At 41.8% G+C, this 23,496-nt stretch overlaps 1 protein-coding gene across 1 annotated transcript, besides 4 other annotated features; it reads right to left on the reverse strand.

The window, feature by feature from the left end:
* Positions 1-1,996: 1,996 nt before the first annotated feature.
* Positions 1,997-20,695, reverse strand: ZNF699 (zinc finger protein 699). The gene is made up of 6 exons (NM_198535.3): positions 20,207-20,695; positions 15,929-15,981; positions 13,235-13,361; positions 8,737-8,847; positions 8,153-8,336; positions 1,997-7,790 (listed from the first exon to the last, which is right to left on the reverse strand). Exons 2-6 carry the CDS (start codon positions 15,974-15,976, stop codon positions 6,332-6,334), a joined length of 1,929 nt encoding a protein of 642 aa, NP_940937.1. The 5' UTR covers positions 15,977-15,981; positions 20,207-20,695; the 3' UTR covers positions 1,997-6,331.
* Positions 7,010-7,605: an enhancer, noted in NCBI's record as "OCT4-NANOG hESC enhancer chr19:9406829-9407424 (GRCh37/hg19 assembly coordinates)". NCBI's record gives its function as "activates a minimal SCP1, AML or CMV promoter by ChIP-STARR-seq in naive and primed H9 embryonic stem cells {active_cell/tissue: H9 hESC(naive and primed)}" and the evidence as "EXISTENCE:reporter gene assay evidence [ECO:0000049][PMID:30033119]".
* Positions 20,365-20,614: a silencer, noted in NCBI's record as "silent region_10037". NCBI's record gives its function as "represses an Ori minimal core promoter by ATAC-STARR-seq in GM12878 lymphoblastoid cells {active_cell/tissue: GM12878}" and the evidence as "EXISTENCE:reporter gene assay evidence [ECO:0000049][PMID:35858748]".
* Positions 20,675-20,794: an enhancer, noted in NCBI's record as "active region_13927". NCBI's record gives its function as "activates an Ori minimal core promoter by ATAC-STARR-seq in GM12878 lymphoblastoid cells {active_cell/tissue: GM12878}" and the evidence as "EXISTENCE:reporter gene assay evidence [ECO:0000049][PMID:35858748]".
* Positions 22,970-23,264: a silencer, noted in NCBI's record as "tiled region #15409; K562 Repressive DNase unmatched - State 12:CtcfO". NCBI's record gives its function as "represses a minimal TATA promoter and a strong SV40 promoter by Sharpr-MPRA in K562 cells {active_cell/tissue: K562}" and the evidence as "EXISTENCE:reporter gene assay evidence [ECO:0000049][PMID:27701403]".

Consider the following 23,496-nt stretch of genomic DNA (forward strand, 5'->3'; position numbering starts at 1 on the left):
TTAACACCTTTCAGATTTTTACATATTAGCCAAAAATTTTATGATTGAGGAAGATAACAGAAACACAACTAATTGAGAAGCTTCTCTGGGTACTTTGGGCCTCTTAGAGTGGGGTGCTGGGTTAAGTCTTATCGCATTTCAAAAGACTTAGTGTGGATAGTGAATTTGAAGACAGAACTGACCAGAATACTGTGTCCCACATATCCTGGTAGCAGAACACTTAGATATCTGTACTCATTCATTTTACAAATGTTTGAGTCACTATGAGGTGTCTGTCACCATAAAGGAAAGGAAGCAATCCAGGACTAGTCATAAATTTGAGTTGGAAGTACAGTGTCATTTATAAGGGTGGAACAGGTATGATAAGGGTAGCTTGCTAAAGAAAAGTTCTATTTGGGGCATGTTATTTTGAAGATGATTATCAGCCATGCAAATATATGTTTGGAGCTCAGAGGAGGAGTCTGAGCCATGATTTGAATTTGGGAGTTGTTAGCCAATGTGTGTATCAGTTAGCTATTGCTCCAATGTGCTGCCTAACAAATGATCACAAAAATCCCAGAGGCAAAACATCAAGCATGTTATTTAGCTCACAAATCTGGGAGTTGATCTGCATTGGGCTCCACTGAGCCATTTAGCTACTCTTGTGTCTGTAGCAGTGCCAGAAGTGCTAAAGTTAGCAAACCAAACTACACAAGCATGTTTAAAGCCTCTGCTCATATTTTACTGCTTAACGTTCCATTGCCCAAAACAAGTCACATAGCAAAGGGCATGAATATACAAGGAGTGAGGAAATGGGGGCATTAATTTTCTAGAATGTGGCAGTGAAAGTCAAAGTACTTGGACCATGGGATGAAACCACCTTCTGAAGGAGAAAGAAAAAAAGGATCTATTGAAAGAAAGGTCACAAACAGGCATGGTGGCTTACATCTGTAAACCTAGTATTTTGAGAGGCCAAGGTGGGCAGATCACTTGAGCCTAGGATCTCAAGACGAGCCTGGGCAACATGGTGAAACCCCGTCTCTACAAAAAAAAAAAAAAATAGCTGGGTATGGTGGTGTGTGCCTGTAGTCACAGCTATTCAGGAGGCTGAGGCAAGTGGGTCACTTGAGTCCAGGAGGTCGAGGCTGCAGTGAGCTGCGATTTTATAGCACCTTTCAGAATAGTTTTCAACTTTTATAAGACAATATAAACCTAATACAAAACAGACAAGTATATTATGATAAAAGAAATCACAGGACAACCTTCTCATGAACATAGACACAGAAATACTTTTTTAAAAGTAACATTGAATCTAGCAAAAATGAAAAGGCTAATAAACCATATCCAAGTGTGGTTTATTCCAGTAATAGATGTTGTTTTACCATATGAAAATCAAGGAATATATAATTCACCTTATTAACAGATTTAAGAATTTTTTTTTCCAGACCTCTCAGGATTGACAAGGATTTCTTAAAGACTCTGATAAAGACTCTCTTTATCTAGAGAAGGCACTAGATAAAATCTAATGTCCATTCATGATTTTTACAAAACAATCTTGACAATCCAAGAATAAAACAGAATTCCCTTAATTTGATAAAGGTTATTTATAAAAAACTTCTAGGTAGTATCATACTTAATGGTGAAATATTAAACACATTTCCCTAAGTTCAGAAACAAGGCAAAGATATTCACATTCATTTCTGTTCATTATTCTAAAGAAATAAGGCAAGAAAAATAAGCAAAAAATAAAGTTTAGACGTTAGGTAAGACTTTCTTTTATTGGTATTAACAGGATTATATATATATAGAAAATCCAAAATCCACAAAGTATTGGAATAAATAATTGAATTTATAAATGTCACCAGCTATAAAGTCAATATACAAAAAGATATTGCAATTCTACGTGCTAGCCAAAAACATTGAAAAACAAATTAAAAATACAAAGCAAAATATACTAGAAATAAATTAAACAAATCAAGATTTCTACAATGAAAACTATAAAACACTCTTGAGAAAAGTTAAAGACAACCTAGGTAAATGGACAATTATACCATATTCATCAACTGGAAAACTCGATATTGTAAAGATGTCAATTATCCTCAGGTTATTTTATAAAACCAATGCAATTACAGGCATAGTACCAAAAATTCATTTGTGAAAATTAATCCTGAGATTCCAAAATTAATTTAGGAAACATGGGGAACAGAGAAGGCAAGACAATCTTAAAGAATAAAAAAGTTGGAAGGCTTTCACTACCAGATTTCCAAAAATATTACAAAGCAACATAAATTAAGATAGTATGGTATTGATGCAAGAAAAGACAAATGAACCAAGAGGCAGAGATCACCTCAGCAAAGAGGAAACCATGGTCTCTTTGATAAATCTATATACACACACCTTGATCCTACCTCACACGCTACAAAAAATTATTCAAAGTAGATCACAGACCTACATAAAAAAACAATAAAGAATCTAGAAGGAAACATAGGAGAGTAGATTCATTATCTTGGTCCAGGCAAATAATTCTTAAACAGGTGTCAGATCTCAAGTTGATCTTTATGCTCATTAAAGATTAAGCAGCAATCTTTTTTTTTTTTTTTTTTTGACACGGAGTCTCATTCTGTTGCCCAGGCTGGAGTGCACTGGCACAATCTTGGCTACCTGCAACTCCACCTCCTGGGTTCAAGTGATTCTCCTGCCCCAGCCTCCTGAGTAGCTGAGATTATAGGCACAGGCCACCACGCCTGGCTAATTTTTTTAGTACAGACAGGGTTTCACCATGTTGGCCAGGCTGGTCTTAAACTCCTGACCTCAGGTGATCCGCCCACCTCGGCCTCCCAAAGTGCTGGGATTATAGGCATGAGCCACTGTGCCTGGCCAAGCAGCAATCTTTAGCAATCTAAACACATGTTAATGGATGACACCTGACCTTTCTAAAATGCTATCTAGGAACTACCTAACCCTGGCTGAGTTCCCAGACTTCACAGTTCCCACTTGCTGCTAAGACCAGCATAACAGCTAACATTACCACTGCTTTTAGATCCTACCTGCCCACTCCTTCCTCCTCCCCTCTGCATATGCCCCAAAACTGCCAGGACTCTATGATTCAGTCAGTGCAGACTCTAATCCAGTTTCTGGATAAGAACAGGCACTAACCCTAAACAAATGAGAGTATTACATTCCCCAGGCCAGTGACTAGAGTACAGTGGGCAAGTGAGCCAATCAGAGCCAACGAGATTCAATTCTGATCATCATATTGGAACCACTCAAAAAGACAATCACTCTTTTCTCCCTGAGACTTTAAGTTGGGAAGAAAGTAGCCAGAGTTTCTGGGGCCATCTATGAAGAGACAACCTGCTTGGAAGAAACACTAATGCAGGAGGATGCACAGCCAAGACAGGGAGACAGAATTCAACTAGATAACATTTTTTTAGCCCCAGGATTTAGCCATGTCTGAAGCTCGTTATACCCAAGGACTTTTTAGTAATAAATTATTTAAACCAACAAATTCCCTTTAAAGAGTGAAAAGACAAGACAGAGATTGGGAAATGTTATCTGTAATGTATGTATATATAATATACATATTTTATGTATATATGTAATATATGATACATGGTTTATACATATCTATGCATGTGTACCTAGATATAGATATACATACATACAATAAAGGACAAGTAACCAGAAGGAAACCTTTCAATTTTTTTTTTTTTTTAAAAAGGAACCATAAGTCTGGGTGCAGTGGCTCACGCCTATAATCCCAGCACTTTGGGAGGCCGAGGTGGGCAGATCACCTGAGGTCAGGAGTTCAAGACCAACCTGGCCAACATGGTGAAACCCCGTCTCTACTAAAAAATACAAAAATTAGCCAGGTGTGGTGGCACACGCCTGTAATCCCAGCTACTCAGGAGGCTGAGACAGGAGAATCACTTGAACCCAGGAAGCGGAGATTGCAGTGAGCAAGATCACGCCACTGCACTCCAACCTGGGCACAAGAGTCCGTCTCAAAAAAAAAAAAAAAGAAAAGAAATCATAAATGGATGAAATGTTTCAACAGGTGCCCTCAAAAAAAAAAAAAATCCAAATAGCCAATAAGCACATCGAAAAGTACTCGAAATCATTACACATCAGGTAAATGCACACTGTCTGCTGGATGACTATAATCAGAAAGAGCTGGACAGGTGTGTGAAACAACTGGAACTTTCATGCATTGTTTTGGGGATTATTCGTGGAATCGATATTTTTTGAAAACTGCAATACCTACCAAAACTAAATTTAAAGTCTACCCTATGATTCAGTAAATTCATTCCTGAGCATATAGCACATACCAAGATAAATAAGCCCATACATCTATCAAAAGAACAATTAAAAGTCAAACCACACATTATGTTGAGCAAAAGAAGTCAAAACACATAACTGTATATATTGTATTTTAACATTTGGATGAAAATCAAGAACAAGCACACCAAGTCAATTATAGTAAGAGTCAAAATTGTGGTTGCCCTGTGGAGTAATTATCACTGAGAAAGAGGATGAAGGAACTTCCTAAAGTCTTGGAAATGTTCTGTTTACCAGGACATGTACATACATGAAATGTCATTAAGCTGTACATTGAAGATTAGCACACTTCATGCATGTTAGTATATGTATAATAAAATAAAAAGTGATTATGGGGAAATAGTAGAGTTATACTTTTAAAGAGAAAATATAATAGGAGGGAAATATCACAGTAGTAGATTATACTTTTAAAGGGAAAATATAATACTGTAGCTAAAGGTACCTGAAGCAATTCATCTTCTTACATTTAAAAAAAAAAAAAAAGCAGTAAAATCTTTCCTGTTTAAAGGTGTCAAGTATAAATCTTCCTCCATTAAAACAGGATGATACCCTGTGGATGCTTACCTCAATTACCAAGGGTAACTTCCCTCACTCTCCACAGCTCTTGCTTTTGAGACTTGCGAACGTATTTTTCCCCATGAATAGCATGACATGATGCGATTGGACTGTGTAAGAAAGACTGCAACATAAGCAAAATGGCAATGCCAGAGCTTGCTAGAAAATCCAAGAAGCTGTATCTGGTGATAGCTTTAGAGATGCTGCCTTGGAAGACACTGAGGTCAAGCAAGCATTTAATGTTTGGTTTTTTATTTCGTTTTGTTTTGTTTTTGAGAAAGGGTCTCACTCTATCACTCAGGCTGGAGTGCAGTGGCATGATCATAGTTCACTGCAGCCTCAAACTCCTGGGCTCAAGTGATCCTCCAGCCTCAGCTCCCTGAGTAGCTGGGACCACAGGTATGCACCATCACGTCCAGCTATAACATTCAGTTTTGAGCAAATATTGATCAATGAGTCCAACAGTCAGAAAAATGAGCTGAAAACTAGAGGTCACCAGGCCTTTATACATCTGTCTCTCTGTCTGATGGCCCCACTAAACATAGCATAACAGCTTTTTCTTCCCTTATGCCTTCCAAATCTCGTACAAACTCTTATTTTAGACAAGTCTAACCTAGAACTGGAGAAAAAAGTGATTCTGGGAAATGTAGTTAATGTAACACAATTTTTACACTCAAAACACTGGATCCAATTCCCAGCCACGAGCAAGGACAAAGAATAAAATATAAAAATAGTATATTAAATTAATTTCTGCTGAAATTACTCACTAGACAATAAAAGCTTTTAATAGTAAAAATTTATCATCTCAGAAACTCTAACGTCTCTTAGCAAAAAAGAATAGGAAGAAAAATATTGAGTGGGCAAGTTCCATTATCTGCCATGTAGACTAAAAACAAAACATCAACAAAAATCAATATTTGGTTTTTGGTTTGTCAATATTATATTGGTTTGTCAATATTATAACGACTACCCATTTAAAGAACAATGAACATTAATTAGAAACCACTTTTTTAAAAAAGACCACTGCTGCCTATACAGAAAAAATATTTCGTGTCCTCCATGATCCAAAAGATTTTGTAATGGAAATCATATTTACATCAGAACCAAAATTAAAGCACCTCATACTAAAAAGTATGTGGCTAGAGCTGAAAAGGTAAATTTATCACCTTCAATGTTCCTATCAGAAAACACTGGTAATCAACGAGCCAGCATTCTACTTTAAGGATGAGGCACTGATCTTCATTTCTAGTAGAGATTTTCTTATACATAATAAGCAATGTTCATAAAGGCTTTAGCACATGACTTACATACACAGGGTTTCTCTAAAGTGTCCTCAAATCTTCAAAACGATGAGCAACAATTTCCTACTTTCTTACATTCATAGGGTGTCTCCACAGTATGAGATCTCACATGTTGCCTAGGATCTGAAGCTTTGCAGACATTCCCATATTCCTTACATTTATATGTTTTCTCTAGTGTGAGTTTTCACATGCCTTCGAAAGTAGGCAGGACAAACAAAGGCTTTCCCACATTCCTTACATTCATAGGGTTTCTCTCCAGTGTGGCTTCTCACATGCCTTCGAAAGGATGAGGGACAACTGAAAGCTTTTCCACATTCCAGACATTCAAAGGGTTTCTCTCCAGTGTGCATTCTTGCATGTACAGTAAGGTATGAAGAATGACGAAATGCTTTCCCACATTCCTTACATTCATAGGGTTTTTCCCCAGTGTGCGTTCTCATGTGGATCCTAAGGGCTGAGGGATAAATAAAGGCTTTCCCACATTTCTTACATTCATAGGGTTTCTCTCCAGTGTGAGTTCTGATATGTACTGTAAGGTGGGAGGAACTAATAAAGGCTTTCCCACATTCTTTACATTCATACGGCTTCTCTCCGCTGTGAGTTCTTAGGTGTTCGGTGAGGGATGAGGAACGACTAAAGGTCTTCCCACACTCCTTACATTCATACTGTATCTTTCCAGTGTGATCTCTCACATGTGCTCTAAAGGACGAGGGACAACTAAAGGCCTTCCCACATTCCTTACATTCATAGGGTTTCTCTCGACTTTGATTTTTCACATGTGTATTAAGGGAAGTGGGAAGGTAGAAGGCCTTTCCACATTCCAGACATTCATACGGTTTTTCTCCAGTGTGTTTTCTCATATGGATACTTAAGGAGGAGGGACAATTGTAGGCTTTCCCACATTCCTTACATTTATAGGGTTTCTCTCCAGTATGTGTCCTCCCATGTACAGTGAGTTTTGAGGACTCGCTGAAGGCCTTCCCACACTCTTTACATTCATAAGGCTTCTCTCCAGTGTGAATTCTTATATGTATTATAAGGTGAGAGGAAGAGCTAAAGGCCTTCCCACATTCCTTACATTCATATGGCTTATCTCCACTGTGAATTCTTTTGTGTTTGGAGAGTGAGGAGGAACAACTGAAGGCCTTCCCACATTCCTTACATTCATAAGGCTTATCTCCACTGTGAATTCTTTTGTGTTCTGTGAGCGATGAGGAACAACTAAAACCTTTCCCACATTCTTTACATTCATAGTTTGTCTTTCCGATGTGAATCTTCATATGTGCCCTAAAGAATGAGGAACAGCTGAAGGCTTTGGTACATTCCTTACATTCATAGGGCTTCTCTTCAGTGGGGGTTTTCATATGCTTCTTGAAACAAGCAAGAAAATGGAAGGCCTTCCCACATTCCTTGCACTGATAGGGTTTGCTTCCAGTATGAGACCTGATGTGACTCTTAAGGGATGAATGATCCACGAAGGCCTTTCCACACTCATGGCATTCACAGGATTTTACTTCAGTATTTCTCTTGAGTGAATCAAGATTTGGAACTTGGCTGAAAGTCTGTCCATCTTGATTTTCTTCATAACATTCATAGATGTTCTCTACCATATGATTTCTTTTAAAAATAAAAGACACATTATTAGTAATAAATTTCTACCAATTTCAGTGAATGTATATGTTTTCTGCCCTTCTGTCAAGTTTAAGCTGAAAGTTTTCACAGAGGGCTCTACGACAGCCAATACTGTCACTGAGTTATTGACTCACGGGATTTTTCTGATAATTGTTTACAACTGAAGTATGTGTCAAACATTCAAAATCCCGGTCTCATTTGTGGAAAAAATTAACTCATGAAAATTCTTTCTCAAACCACAATCTTTGATCTAGGCTTATTTATATATACATATTTCTTAAATTTCATGACTTTAATTTTAAGATTCTCTCCTGAGGCACTTTCTCTTTCTCACGAATGGCACTCACCTCAAATGTCTCTCATGGCTTTTGTTCTGATAATCAATACCACAGGACTCCTGGTTTTCATGTAAACTGGAGAACCAGGAATCATTCCTTTTGAATCTTACTATTTTCTGTTCATTGGATATTTTTTCTCCACAAATATCTTGTGAAGCAACTGATTCATTAGTTTTAAGTTGAGTCTCAAAACCTGAAACGAAAAAAAGTGAAAGCTTCCATGAGCCAAGGACTTTTAGCAGAGTGACTATTTCAGGACTTTGGTATTAATAGGCACAAGGGTCAAAATGGTAAGCAATTAACTAAGAAATAATTTTATGAAGATTGAAACTAACATAACTAATATAGTATTAGGAGAACAAAACAGAAATTGGATAAAATGCACATGACCAAATGCCAACTTACAAAGAGGAAACGTGGAAGGTCTTTGCCAAGAACAAGGAAAATGCGAGAGGACTGATAAAAAGTCAAAATAGTCATCTGAGCTATCTGTGGAAGATGAGCTTCCTCATATAAAACAAAGTTTGTTTTTGTTTTTTACTTTAAGTTTATTTTTTCCCCCAACCAAAACAGTTTCTCCCAAGGGTTCTTGCCTTCCCGGTGCTCTCCCATAAAGATGCCCTGGATAAGTTCTCTCTTCACTGTCTGCAGGTCCTCCTCTTGTTCCCACTGGGAGATCAGATGGGGTGTGTGTAGCGGATACCCTGCACAAGCAGAAAGGCATATCACGAGGGAAAATAATGAAGAATCACTAACATTTCCATGAAACAGAAACAAAACTTTAGTCTTCTGATATTCCAAAAATGGACAACTGTGAGTTTAACTGCAACAAAATGTCAAATTTATTTATTTTTTTTTTTAAAAAAAGGAGAGGTGGCAGGTTGGGTGCGGTGACTCACGCCTGTAATCCCAGCACTTTGGGAGACTGAGGCAGGCAGATCACGAGGTCAGGGGTTCGAGACTAGCCTGGCCAACATGATGAAACCCTGTCTCTACTAAAAATACAAAAATTAGCAGGGTGTGGTGGAGCACACCTGTAATCCAAGCTAGTCAGGAGTCTGAGGCAGGAGAATTGCTTGAACCCGGGAGGCGGAGGTTGCAGTGAGCTGAGATCGTGCCACTGCACTCCCGCCCGGGCGACAGAGCGAGACTCTATCTCAAAAAAAAAAAAAAAGGAGAGGTGGCAGGAGGAAGCAGCTTCTGACATACAGAACTGATCTAATGTTCACACCTAAACCTCAATATCATTACAAGCTGGTCAGACAGTCACAACTGGGACATTTTGTTCTCCTATAGAATATAAATAATCTCACAAAATACTAATCTTGGATAAAGTTACTCTGAAATCATGATAAAATGAAACAAAACAAGGTTACCTCATAATTTTGTCTAAAGACTTTATGCCACCCACAACATACTCAATAATAGAGTATTATTGAATAATACTGTCAGCAACCAGCAATACTATCCACTTTCTGTCAGCAACCAATCTAAAATGACTGCCTGTGTCACTAGGCTGAACAACGTCCCCTCAAAATTTATGTTCAAATGGATCAACAGAAAAGCACAGTGGGTTCAGAAACAGAGCCACACCAATACAGTCAGCTGACCTTGACAAAATAGCAAAGGCAATACAATGGAGAAAAGCTAAGTCTTTCCCACAATTGGTACTGGAACAACTGGACATCCACAAGCAAAAAAATAAATCTAGACACAGGCCTTAGACCCTTCACAAAAGTTAACGCAAAATGGGTCACAGACCTTACTGTAAAATGCAAAGCTAGAAAACTCCTAGAAGATAACAGGAGAAAAATCTAAATGACCTTCTGTTTGGCAATGACATTTTAAATTTTTTTTCTTTTTTTTGAGACGGAGTCTCGCTCTGTCGCCCAGGCGGGAGTGCAGTGCCACAATCTCAGCTCACTGCAAGCTCTGCCTCCTGGGTTCACGCCATTCTCCTGCCTCAGCCTCCTGAGTAGCTGGGACCACAGGTGCCTGCCACCACACCTGGCTAATTTTTTGTATTTTTAGTAGAGACGGGGTTACACCGTGTTAGCCAGGATGGTCTCGATCTCCTGACCTCGTGATTCACCCGCCTCGGCCTCCCAAAGTGCTGGGATTACAGGCGTCAGCCACCATGCCTGGCCTGACATTTTTAATTTTTTTTTTAAGAGACAGGGTCTCACTTTATCACCCAGGCTGTAGTAGTGGTGTGATCATAGCTCACTGCAGCCTCAAACTCCTGGACTCAAGTGATCCTCCAGCCTCCACCTCCCAAGTAACTGGGACTACCAGCGCGTGCCCCCCACACCCTGGCAATGATATTTTAGATAATAATGCTAAAGCATGATCCATAAAACAAAGAATCAATAATTGAGCTTCATTAACATTAAAAATTTCTGCCCTCTGAAAGACAATGTCAACAGAATGGAAAGATAAGCCACAGCCTGGGAGAAAATATTTGCAAAAAACATATCTGAGAAGGAACTGTTATCAAAAATATACAAAGACTGTAGCAGATATCATACAGAAAAAAACAAACAAAATATTCAAAGAACTCTTAAAACTCAACAATGTTTAAAAAAAAAAAAGACAAAAAAATGAGCCAAAGACCTTTACAGACACCTCACCAAAGAACATATACAGATGGCAAATAAGCATATGAAAAGATGCTCAACATCATAAGTCATCAGGGAAATGCAAATTAAAACAAGGCACCACTACACACCTGTTAGAATGGCCAAAATCCTGAACATTCACAACAACAAATGCTGGTGAGGATGAGGAGCAACAGGAACTCTCATTCATTGCTGGCTGGAATGCTCGCTCTGTCGCCCAGGCTGGAGTGCAGTGGTGTGATCTCAGCTCACTGCAAGCTCTGCCTCCCAGGTTCACACCATTCTCCTGCCTCAGCCTCCCGAGTAGCTGGGACTACAGGTGCCCGCCAACACACCCGGCTAATTTTTTGTATTTTTAGTACAGATGGAGTTTCACCCTGTTAGCCAGGATGGTCTCGATCTCCTGACCTCGTGATCCACCCGCCTCGGCCTCCCAAAGTACTAGGATTACAGGCATGAGCCACCGCGCCCGGCTGGCAGTTTCTTATAAAATTAAACATCCTCTTACCATAAAATCCAGCAACTGAATTGCACTCCTTTTACCCAAAGGAGTTGAAAACTTAAGTCCACATAAAAACCTGCACACCAATGTTCATAGTAGCTTTATTTGTAACTGCCAAAACGTGTAAGCAACCAAGAAGTCCTTCAGTAGGTGAATGGATAAACCGTGGTACATCCAGACAATAGAATATTAGTCAGAGGTACAAAGAAATGAGCTCTCAAGCTATGAAAAGACATGGAGGAATCTTAAATGTATATTGCTAAGTGAAAGAAGCCAATCTGAAAAGGCTACATACTGCATGATTCCAACTATATGACATTTTGCAGAAGGCAACATCATTATGGAGACAGAAAGATCAGTAGTTGCCAAGATTTAAGAGGGAGGGAAGGAGGGATGAATTGATAGAGCACACAGGATTTTTACAGCAGTGAAACTATTCTGTATGATATTATAATGGTGGATACATGTCATTATATATTCTTCCAAACTCATAGAATGTACAATACCAAGAGTGAACCCTAATGTAAATGATGGACTCTGGGCAATGATGACGTGTCAATGTAGCTTCATCAGTTATAACAAATTTACCACTCTGGTGGGGGATGTTGTTATTAGAGGAGGCTATGCATGTGGGAGCCAGAGGTTATACGGGAAATCTCTGTACCTTCCACTCAATTCAGCTGTGAACCTAAAATTGCTCTAAAAATAATAATAAAGCCTACAAAAAAAAAAGAGAGAGAGAGAGAGAGAGAGAGAAGTCCACCCAGAACCTCAAAATGTTACCTTATTTAGAAATAGGGTCTTTACAGATATAATCAAGACAAGGTTATACTGGATTAGGATGGGCCCTAAATCCAATGACTGGTGTCCTTATAAGGAGACAGAGACTTAGACACACAGGCAAGAAGGAGAAGGCAGAGAATGGAATGATGCATCTGTAAGTCAAGGAATGCCAATGATTGCCAGCAATCACCAGAAGCCAGGAAGAGAAAAGGGAGTCTTTCCCCCAGAGCCTTCAGAGAGAACATGGCCCTGCTGATCCCTTGATTTCAGATACCCAGCCTCCAGAAATGCTGTGAAGGAAAAAATTTCCGTTGTTTTTAGCCACCAGTGTGTGATACTCTGCTACAGAAGGTCTAGGAAACTAATACAGCCTGCTTCCATAGACCCATCCCCAAATCACTCAACTGAAGCACAAATCCTGTAATAGGTCTTTTCTAACACCATCTTACTAGGACATGTAAGAGGCATGTATTCTTGCTTGCTGCACTGCAAAATAAACCCAACTTGTTTAACTATAAGTGTGTTCTGGTAGTCTTTGGGTAAAGGACACAGATAGCAGTAAAATCCTCAAAATGTTCAAACTACAAACCTCCTCCCTGTGTCCTATAGTGATTGCTGAGGTTTATACCCACACTTTCGATACTTAATAAACCTCAAGGCTTTCAACCACGAAAAAAAGCATCAGTTCAATATACAGATGTTTATTTTCTTTTTTCTTTTTTTTTTTTTTGAGATGGAGTTTCACTCTTGTTGCCCAGGCTGGAGTGCAATGGAGCGATCTTGGCTCACCGTAACCTCCACCTCCTGGGTTCAAGCCATTCTCCTGCCTCAGCCTCCCAAGTAGCTGGGATTACAAGCATGCACCACCACGCCTGGCTAATTTTGTGTTTTTAGTAGAGACGGGGTTTCTCCATGTTGGTCAGGCTGGTATCGAACTCCTGACCTCAGGTGATCCACCCGCCTTAGCCTCCCAAAATGCTGGGATTACAGGCATGAGCACTGCGCCCGGCCCAGGTGTTTATTTTCATAGCAAAGCCACTAGACTGTAAGTTCCTTGGGGTCAGTGACCATATCTGTCTTACTTACCAATGTCTTCCCATTCCTCAGCCCAAATCCTAGAATAAAGTCAATTTAGTGAGATAAAATAACTTTCTAAACAACTACATGAAAGAATCTTGCCATTCTTACCTAGTGAGGCCAGGTTCTGGAAGTTTTCCAGCATCACATCTCTGTAGAGGTTTCTCTGAGCAAGATCCAGCAAAGCCCATTCCTCCTGGGTAAAGTCCACAGCCACATCCTCAAAGACTACTGAGTCCTAAAACATACCACAAATTCTGTTCAGAAAGGTACAATTCCTCCAATGTGTACAAGAGGACAGATGAGGCTCACAACATCGAGGAAATGAGAGTCAATTCATAGGAAGTTCAGAAGATCCCAGCATCTACTCTAGGGCTCAGTCAACAAATCTCTCTCTCTTTCTATCCACACATAATTCATCACTGATCAAATCCTGGCTTATAGATTTAATACTTCTAAAACACTAAATTGCCAGGCAAATTGGGTCAAGCCTATAATCCCAGCACTTTGGGGAGCCAAAGCAGGAGGACTACTTGAGCCCAGGAGTTCAAGACCAGCCTAGGCAACAGAACATAGTGAGAATCAGTCTCTACTAAAATTTTTTTAAAAAATAGCTGGGCGTGGTGGCATGTGCCTATGGTGGCAGCTACTCCGGAGGCTGAGGTGGGTGGGAGGATTGCTTGAGCCACAAGGTTGAGGCTGCAGTGAGCACGACCATGCCACTGCACTCTAGCCTGGACAAAAAAAAACAAAAACAAAAACAAAAAAACATTAAATTTATCTCCCCACAATCTGATGCCAATGAGCTAGGAAAAAACAAAGTGTTTTTCCTACCCTCTTACATAGTCACTCAATACTGTACAGAACACTTCTGACACCAGATGTGTGGGGGATATTTTCCACAAACACCAAGCAATTCCCCAGTGGACACCAGCTGGGTATCCTACAACTTGCTTCTGATACTATCTACCTGGAGATTCCACAGGTTGGAGATTCCACAGGAGGTCCCACTAAACTGCCTCCCACTTCAGATGCCAATCCCAAGTTAAAAGGCTGTCAATTATACTTCTGACTGGCTAAAATCAGGGCTCCTACTACCCTCTCCTTGAGTTTGATTAATTTGCTGGAACAACTCACAGAACTCAGGGAAACATGTTTACTGGTTTATCACCAAGGTCATTACGAAGTACACAGATAAAATAGCCAGATGAAGAGATGGACAGGCCAAGGTATGCTGGGAAGGGGTGCAGAGATTCCATGCCCTCTCCTGGCATGCCACCCTCCGGGAACCACCACACGTCCAGCTATCCACGAGCTCCTCAAGCCAGTCCTTTGGGTTTTTAAGGAGGCTCCATCACAGGCATGGCTGATTTAAGTCCCAATCCTCTGATCTTGCCTGGGTCTTTCTGAACCAGCCCCCATTCTGAGTCTCTCTAGGGGCTTCCAGACACCAACCATCTCATGAGCACACAAAAGACGCTCTTATTGCTCTAGAGATTACAAGGGTTTTTAGGAACTCTGTCCTAGGAAATAGGATGAAAACCAAATTGTTTTCTTTTTTTTTTTTTTGAGATGGGGTCTCGCTCTGTCGCCCAGGCTGGAGTGCAGTGGCGCGATCTCGGCTCATTGCAACCTCCACCTCCCTGGTTCAAGCAATTCCCCTGCCTCAGCCTCCCGAGTAGCTGGGATTACAGGCACGTGCTACCATGCCCAGCTACTTTTTTTTGTATTTTTAGTAGAGACAGCGTTTCACCATGTTGGCCAGACTGGTCTCGAACTCCTGACCTCAGGCAGTCTGCCCACCTTGGCCTCCCAAAGTGCTGGGATTGCAGGCGTGAGCCACCGTGCCCAGCCCCAAATATGTATTTCACAATATCATAGATGGTGACCAATGCCAGTCTTATGATGGCCTAGAAAAGTCCAGAACATATTGAAGAAATGAGAAAAATGCTCTGGAAATGAAATAATTTCCACATTGACATCATCGATTCCTTATTACAGAAATAACTTCACCTGTTACTTTATTCCCACCATAGCAATCACTACAACATTAAACACAGGGTCAAATCTAGATGGGATTTTAATGAATAAAAATACACCGAGAGAAAAGCAGCCTTTCATTTTTTTCCCCCTCACAAAACTGAGAGGCCCAGGAGACTGCATAAGCACAATTTTGAAGCCAGGCCCACAGCTGGTCATACTTTCTTGTATTCTAGGCCAGTGGTCAGCAAACTATGGCACATGGACTATATCCAAGCTGCCACTTGAATGCATAAATACAGTTTTATTGGAACACAATAAAATGTGTTTATGTACTGTCTATGGCTGCTTTTGCACCAAAATGGCAGAGCTGAATTGCAATAGAAACACTACGGCCGGCCGGGCACGGTGGCTCATGCCTGTAATCCCAGCACTTTGGGAGGCCAAGGCGGACAGATCACGAGGTCAGGAGATTGAGACCATCCTGGCCAACATGGTGAAACCCCATCTCTATTAAAAATACAAAGTTAGCCGAGAGTGGTGGTGCATGCCTGTAGTCCCAGCCACTCGGGAGGCTGAGGCAGGAGAATCGGTTGAACCAGGGAGTCGAAGGCTACAGTGAGCCAAGATGGTGCCACTGCACTCCAGCCTGGCGACAGAGCAAGACTCTGTCTCAAAAAAAAAAAAAAAAAAACTATAGCCTTCAGTGCCTAAAATACTATGTGGTCCAATACAGAAAGAGATTGCTGGCTTGTGCCCTAAAACACTGAGGGAGACCTGGTACAATGGAAATATTCTTTTGGACAATTATCACCTTTTACTTACCTGTATTCTATTTTTCTGTAACTCAGCAGTTTTTCTTTCTTCCTCCATGTCGCCTTCATGAAGAAAAGCAGGATATTGAGAAGTTAGAATTAAAAAAGGTGACATGAGAATCCAGACCTCCCCAAAATTCCCACACTCATGAGCCTGGATGTTGCAGCCCATCAATTATAAGTAACAACTCCCCTCAAAACACATACACACACACACACACACACATGCACACACCCAAGACACCCAAGTAAATATACCCTGCTCTTGTGGGAAAGTGGAACAACCTTACGTCCCCCTAGAGATACAAAACAGTGCTCTGGTCCTTGTTGATCATAAAGAAGAGGTTAAGAGTGCTATTTTGTAAGTTAACTGAAGACTAGAAAAGTCTGGCTGTCAATCTGCCCATGATAACAAAAAGTATAAAATGTATCAGGGAGTATCTTCCAAAACATGAATAAACACTCCCCATCTCAAATTCAAGAAAGCACTGATTTATATGCCAGGCTTCTGGGAGTTCCACTCCCGATATTTCTTACTTCTGCACCCCTTGGCTGGCTAACAGGCTTTGCTGCTCAGCCCTAGACCACTGCCCCTGCCCCCATGAGCTGCAGGGTTCCCCAAAACCTGAGAAAGAGCATCAGCCTATTTTTTTTTTTTGAGATGGAGTCTTGCTCTGTCACCCAGGCTGGAGTGCAGTGGTGTGATCTCAGCTCACTGCAACCTCCACCTCCCGGGTTCATGCCATTCTCCTGCCTCAGCCTCCCCAGTAGCTGGGATTACAGGTGCACACCACCATGCCTGGCTAATTTTTCTGTGTTTTTAGTAGGGACGGTGTTTCACCGTGTTAGCCAGGATGGTGTCAATCTCCTGACTTCATGATCCGCCTGCCTCGGCCTCCCAAAGTGCTGGGATTACAGGCGTGAGCCACCGCGCCTGGCCAAGCATCAGCCTATTGAATTCCATATGCTGGAGGCAGAGAAGGCCGCTATGCTGTGATACACATGCTAAATCTGCCTGCACAGTACAGTAGTAGCAGAATAAGAATACTTGGCCAAGCATGGTGGCTCACGCCTGTAATCCCAGCACTTTGGGAGGCCGAGGTGGATGGATCACGAGGTCAGGAGTTCCAAACCAGCCTAACCAATATGGTGAAACCCCTCCTTTACTAAAAATACAAAAATTAGCCAGGCGTGGTGGCGCAAGCCTGTAATCCCAGCTACTCAGGAGGCTGAGGCAGGAGAATCGCTTGAACCCGGGAGGCGGAGGTTGCAGCAAGCCGAGATTGCGCCACTGTACTCCAGCCTGGGAGACAGAGCGAGACTCCATCTCAAAAAAAAAAAAACACTTGACCTGTGTCAGCCCTGATGTGGTATCTGCAGTGCTGTTTCACAAATTTCAAACAACGACATGTTAACAGTTACTTCCACTGCAGTGGAACAAGTAGCATTTTAAAAAGCCAATAAAAAACTGTAACATTCTTTGCTGTATTAGTAACAATATATGCCATCTGGACAACCCTGATGTGAGAATGACTTTGCAAAGAAATGGCCACATTTTAGAATATTTCTCACAGAAGCTCTGCAAATCAAATATTATTACAACCAGTTTAGAATTATCTTAGAATGAGTCAATTAACCACATCTTCAATATTACCCAATTAGACAGCTGCTGAGGCAGGGTATGAATGCAGGCCTATTTGTCTTCAAAACCCAAACACCCAGTGAGTACATTTTTGAACACATACCTTAAATTTTAATTGTTTTTAAGCCCCTTATTCCCTAGTTTTACCAGGATTTAGCCTAGAACCCTATTGGGCACTACAGAGAGTGGACAAATGAAGCATTCTAATCAAATATGCTGTGCGTGGTAGCTCATGCTTGTAATCCCAGCACTTTGGGAGACCAAGGTCGGGGGAATCACATGAGGTCAGGAGTTCAAGACCAGCCTGGCCAAAATGGCGAAACCCTGTCTCTACTAAAACTACAAAAATCAGCCGGGCATGGTGGCGCACAGCTGTAGTCCCAGCTACTCAGGAGGCTGAGGCAGGAGAATTGTGTGAACTCAGGAGGCAGAGGTTGCAGTAAGCCGAAATCACACCACTGCACTCCAGCCTGGGCAACAGAGCCAGACTCTGTCTCAAAATAAATAAAATAAATAAATAATCAAATATGTTATCTTTGAGCTCCTTTTCCTAAGGCCTATGTCTTGGGCAACGATGCTTCCCTTATAGCCCTTACCTCCTTCGTTTCATGTTTATTTAGGTGACATTTATCCTGACCCTACTACATGAAGTCACAAGGAATAAGGCATAGAAAAATAAAAAAGAAAAATCCTGAAGCAAATGAATGTTATAATATTTTGGGTAAGACATTAAACAAAATACATCAGGTAGAGATACATGCTATATAAAAAATGTAGCACATTATAGGGATAAGGAGACACGTAACATATTTATCTTTAGCAAGTCAGGACAGGTAATGTGGCAGGGTAGAAGCAGAAAATTAAAATAACTATTTCAGATCATGCTGGAATTTCAGAGGGTTTAGTATATCTATTATATATTTATAAGCATTATCAACTCCTAGAGGAAAAAAAATCAGTACTGGCCAGGCACGGTGGCTCACACCTGTAATCCCAGCACTTTGGGAGGCCAAGGTGGGTGGATCACAAGGTCAGGAGTTCAAGACCAGCCTGGCCAAGATGGTGAAACCCACCTCTACTAAAAATACAAAAAAATTAGCTGGGCATGGTGGCAGGTGCCTGTAATCGCCACTACTTGGGAGGCTGAGGCAGAGAATTGTTTGAACCCAGGAGGCAGAGGTTGCAGTGAGCCAAGATCACGCCACTGCACTCCAGCCTGGGAGACACAGCGAGACTCTGTCTCAAAAAAAAAAAAAAAAATCGGTATTAATAGGCTAGACTATTGATATATAAAGTTGAATAAAGACCAGCATAAAAGTTTAGAAAGAAAATAGAAAATAATCTTTTTTAAAACATAGTAAACAAAATCAGAAAAGCTAAAAAAGCATCCTTTGCAAAAAGAAAAACTAATGAAACTGACAAACTCAGCTTTTTAAAAAAATTTTTTAATTTAATTTATTGTTTAAGACAGACTCTTTATGTTCCCAGGTTGATCTCATTTCCTAGGCTCAAGCGATCCATCTGCCTTAGCTTCCCACCAGCTGGGACTACAGATATGCGCCACTGCAGCCAGCAACAGACTCAGCAATTTTAAGAGCAACAGGGCATAAACAACAACAACAAAAAAAAAATGAACAAGAATTAATCATAATTACAGATATCATAAGGAGAATATAGAAAAAATTTAAGGAATAAATATGAAGATGCACAGGTAATTAATGAATTTCTAGAAAGTAGTACAACTTTCAAGCAGTGATCTAAAACCTGATTACACCCAGTAATTAAAGAAAAAAAAATCAGCGGTTTAAAACACGGTCAGGCCGGGTGCAGTGGCTCATGCCTGTAATTCCAGCACTTTGGGAGGCGGAGAGCCCATGAGTTCGAGACCTGCCCGGGCAACAGAGCGAGACTCCTATTTTCTAAAAAGAAATAGGAATAAAGAAAGGAAAAAAACCTACAAACACCTACAGCAAACATCCTATTTAATGGTGAAATGATAGAATAATTCCCTCTGGAATCAGAAACAAGACAGGATGTAAATTACATGCTATTCTGTCGGACATTGTACTGGAGGTCCTGGCAAGTGCAGTAAAGAAATGAAAAGAAATGGAAACTGCAAGGAATAAAAAGGGAAAAGATTGAAACTGACAGATGACCAAATTTTCTGTGTGAAATTTAACCAATCTATAGACAAATGATTCAAATGCATCATTAATGACAAAATGCATCAGTTCACTTTCACTTGAATATAATGTATCAAACTGATGTCCACAGGCAGAATATAATATCCAGAGACCAAATACTATCTTTTTGTTTTTTTGAGACAGTGTCTCGCTCTGTTGCCCAGGCTGGAGTGCAGTGATGCGATCTCAGCTCACTGCAACCTCTGCCTCCCGAGTAGCTGGGAACACAGGAGAGCACCTTTTATTTTACTTTTTTTTTTTTTTTTTTTTTTGGTAGAGACGGGATCTTGCTATGTTGCCCAGGCTGGCCTCAAACTCCTGGGCTCAAGCGATCCGCCCGCCTCGGCCGCCCAAAGTGCTGGGATTACAGGCGTGAACCACCGCGCTTGGCCCAAACACTACCTAATGCATAAAGAGGGGACAGGAGGGGACCGAGCCGAGGCAAATGTCACCCCGTGCTCACCCGACACGCCGCGATCCACAGATCAGCTCACAGAGAACGAGGCTGAAGCGCTTGTCCTTGAGACACGAATGGCAGAGATGCTCTTCCTTTCTGGAAAGAGAGCAAAGGATGCTTTCGGAGGCTGATGAACTACGACATTGGTTCTCCAACTCTCGCCTGCATCAGAATCACCCCGATTTCTGTACCCAGACCAGAGTTCCCGATTCAGTGAGTTTGGGACCAGCCGCGGCCACAGGGGCAGCTGACCCGGGCTCTCTGAGGAGGCGCCGCGGCGGCGGGAGGCCCCGGGCGCGGGGTCCGGACAAGGAGTGGCGGGGAGGCAGCCCTTAGACCGCCGATTCCCAAACCCAGCCCTCGGTCTCCCGCGGACCCGACCCGGGGCAGGCAGGGCGGGGCGGGGCAGGGCAGGACAGGAAGCGGGCGGAGGCAAAAATGTTCCTCAGACGCGGGCGGAGGCGTAGGGTGACAAGGCTGTCGACTCGCGCATGCGCAGAAGCACACTTCTGATTCCTCTTTCGGCGCTGCAAATGGCGTATGGGGCGGGGCCTGGGAAGCGGGACTTGAGGTGAAGGGGGTGGAGCAGGTAGGAGCGGGATGCAAAGGAGCGCCAAGGCTGGTTCCAGCCGCAAGTGGATGAGAAATCCTAGTTTCTTCATGATTTGGAGTAAACAGAGAAGAAACAGAACCCTGAACTGGACTTGCATGACTCGGCCTGAGGGGCGGAACTGGGGCTAGACCTAGGGGCGTGGCCTTTTAAATACTCCAAGGGGCGGGGCTAAAGGTGGAACCAGATTGGGAGCGGGGCTTGGTAGAAATTCCTAGGGGGCGGAGACGAGGGCTGGGCGGGGCTTAAGTGACAAGGCCTAGGGATGGGGCTAAGGCTAGGGCTTCCCATCCAGGTTCTCAGCTACCACGGATACAGGATGCTCATCGATCGGGTTTCTACCTATCCTCCACGTTGCTACAGTCCTGTACACAGGACACATATATTTGCAGCTCTAATAGGAAACAGACTCTCCTTGACACTCACTCAGTCCTTTTGGGCCTTTTAGTTTTCCCTTTCATTGTTGTATTGATAACTTCTCCTGTAGAGGGAAGCCATTGATAATTATTTAAATAGAACCTTTTTCCTGGAAACTTGCTGAATTCTGATAGCTGTCAGTTTATTATTTGAACCATCAAATATAAATATTTTCTCTGCATATTTTCATTGTTTTAATGTGTATAACTCATTTCTTTATGTGAGGCAATGTCTCATTCTATCGCCTAGACTGGAGTGCAGTGGCGCGACCATGGCTCACTGCAGCCTTGACTTCCCCAGCTCAAGTGATGGTCCCATCTCAGCCCCCCAAGTAGCTGAGAATACAGTCGCGTACCACCCCACCCAGCTATTTTCTTTATTTTTTTGTAGAGATGGGATCGCACTATGTTGCTGAAGCTGGTCTCAAACTCCTGAGCTCAAGCTATCCTCTCACCTCAGCCTCCCAGAGTGCTAGGGGTACAGGTGTAAGCCACCACACCCAGAGTCATTTCTTTTTCTTATTGTTTGTTTAGGGCTTCCTCAACTATAAGTCGGAAAGAAATTAAGCATTCTTGTCTTGGTCGGTAATGATTACCAAAGTTCCTCAGTAAGCTGTTTACAACAGGTTGCACCTCTTATCAAGTTAATCTTTTTAAACCAGGTTTATAAAGATATTTTATCAATAATTTTTTATGAACACTATCAAATGTTTATGCAACAATTGAGTTGATAACATAATTTTGCTCCTCTTAGTTTATAATATGATATCCATATAAAATATTTAATTTTAGGCAAGGCGCAGTGGCTCATGCCTGTAATCCCAGCACTTTGGGAGGCCGAGGCCGGTGGATTACCTGAGGTCAGGTGTTCAAGACCAGCCTGGCTACCATGGTGAAACCCCATCTCTACTAAAAATACAAAAAATTAGCTGGGCATGGTGGCGGGTGCCTGTAATCCCAGCTACTCAGGAGGCTGAGGCAAGGAGAATCGCTTGAACCTGGGAGGCAGAGGTTGCAGTGAGCTGAGATCGCGCCATTGCACTCCAGCCTGGGCGACAATAGAAAGACTCCATCTCAAAAATATATATATTCAATTTTATATATCCCCAATGAATCTATACTTTTAGTAAAATGGTTTCTGAGTTTCCTAGTTTGCTTTTAAATGTCTCCCCAAACTCTAAAATATAAAAATACTTCCTAATTTACTTCCAAATTGTACTGCTTTTTAAAACGTATAATTCTTTACTGCTCAGGGAATGTATTTTGGTATAATATGAGGTAGAGATGTGTTATATAAGTGAACCACAGGTGGCCTTTCTGTATTGGTCCCTAGGTTGTTCATTACTTCTTCACTGCGGCTTGAGGTCACCTTCCCAATGCCTGTCCCTGGTGCCCTAGCCAGCTCCCTTTCATCATCTATGTTTTTTAAGTGTAAATCTTTTTCTATTATGAAGCATTATGTTCTCATTGTAGTTTTTTATTTTAAAGGAAAAGTATAAGGAAAAGACAAACAACATTCAGAATCCCAGCAGTGTTTGAATTTTCTGTATTTCCTTTCTGCCTTCTTTGTACGCGTGGGTGGCAAGCCACCCAGGTGCCAAGGCAAGAGACCGAGGGCACAAGCTGTTCCAGTATAATAAAGAAAATATATAGAATAAGAGTAGTTATACTAGAAATAGATTATAGATATGATTGTATATATCATTAATCATTTGTAGCATTACTCTTTATTCCAATATTATAATAATCTTTGTTCTACAATCATAACCTAGGAAAAACCAGGCCATACAGAGATAGGAGCTGAAGGGACATGGTGAGAAGTGACCAGAAGACAAGGGTGAGCCCTCTGTTATGCCTGGACAGAGCCACCAGAGGGCTCCCTGGTCTAGCGGTAATGCCAGCCCCTGGGAAGGAGCCCGTTACCTAGCGGACCTTGGTCTAGCAGTAGCGTCAGTGCCTGGGGAAGGCACCCATTGCTTAGCAGACAGGGAAAGGGAGTCTCCCTTTCCCCGGGGGAGTTAGAGAAGACTCTGCTCACTACCTCTTGCGGAAAGCCTGACATCAGTCAGGCCCGCCCGCAGCCATCCAGAGGCCTAAACGTCTCCCTGTGATGCCGTGCTTCAGTGGTCACACTCCTGGTCCACTTTCATGTTCCACCCTGTACACCTGGTTCTGCCTTCTAATCAGCAGTAGCGGAATTAGTGAAAGTACTAAAGTCTTTGAAATGCATAGAAGAAATAATGGCGTAAGCTGTCCTCTCTCTCTCTCCA

Source organism: Homo sapiens, chromosome 19 (assembly GCF_000001405.40).
Source record: "Homo sapiens chromosome 19, GRCh38.p14 Primary Assembly".
Classification (NCBI taxonomy): domain Eukaryota; kingdom Metazoa; phylum Chordata; class Mammalia; order Primates; family Hominidae; genus Homo; species Homo sapiens.

What these genes read in the sequence shown, in the direction of transcription:
- ZNF699 (NM_198535.3), bottom strand. Translation starts at nt 15,976, where the DNA reads ATGGAGGAAGAAAGAAAAACTGCTGAGTTACAGAAAAATAGAATACAG. An exon ending in TATGGGAGAGCACCGGGAAG is followed by an intron (nt 8,337 to 8,736) that starts GCAAGAACCCTT and finishes TTTTCGTTTCAG; the next exon opens with GTTTTGAGACTCAACTTAAA. An exon ending in AGCCATGAGAGACATTTGAG is followed by an intron (nt 7,791 to 8,152) that starts GTGAGTGCCATT and finishes TATTTTTAAAAG; the next exon opens with AAATCATATGGTAGAGAACA.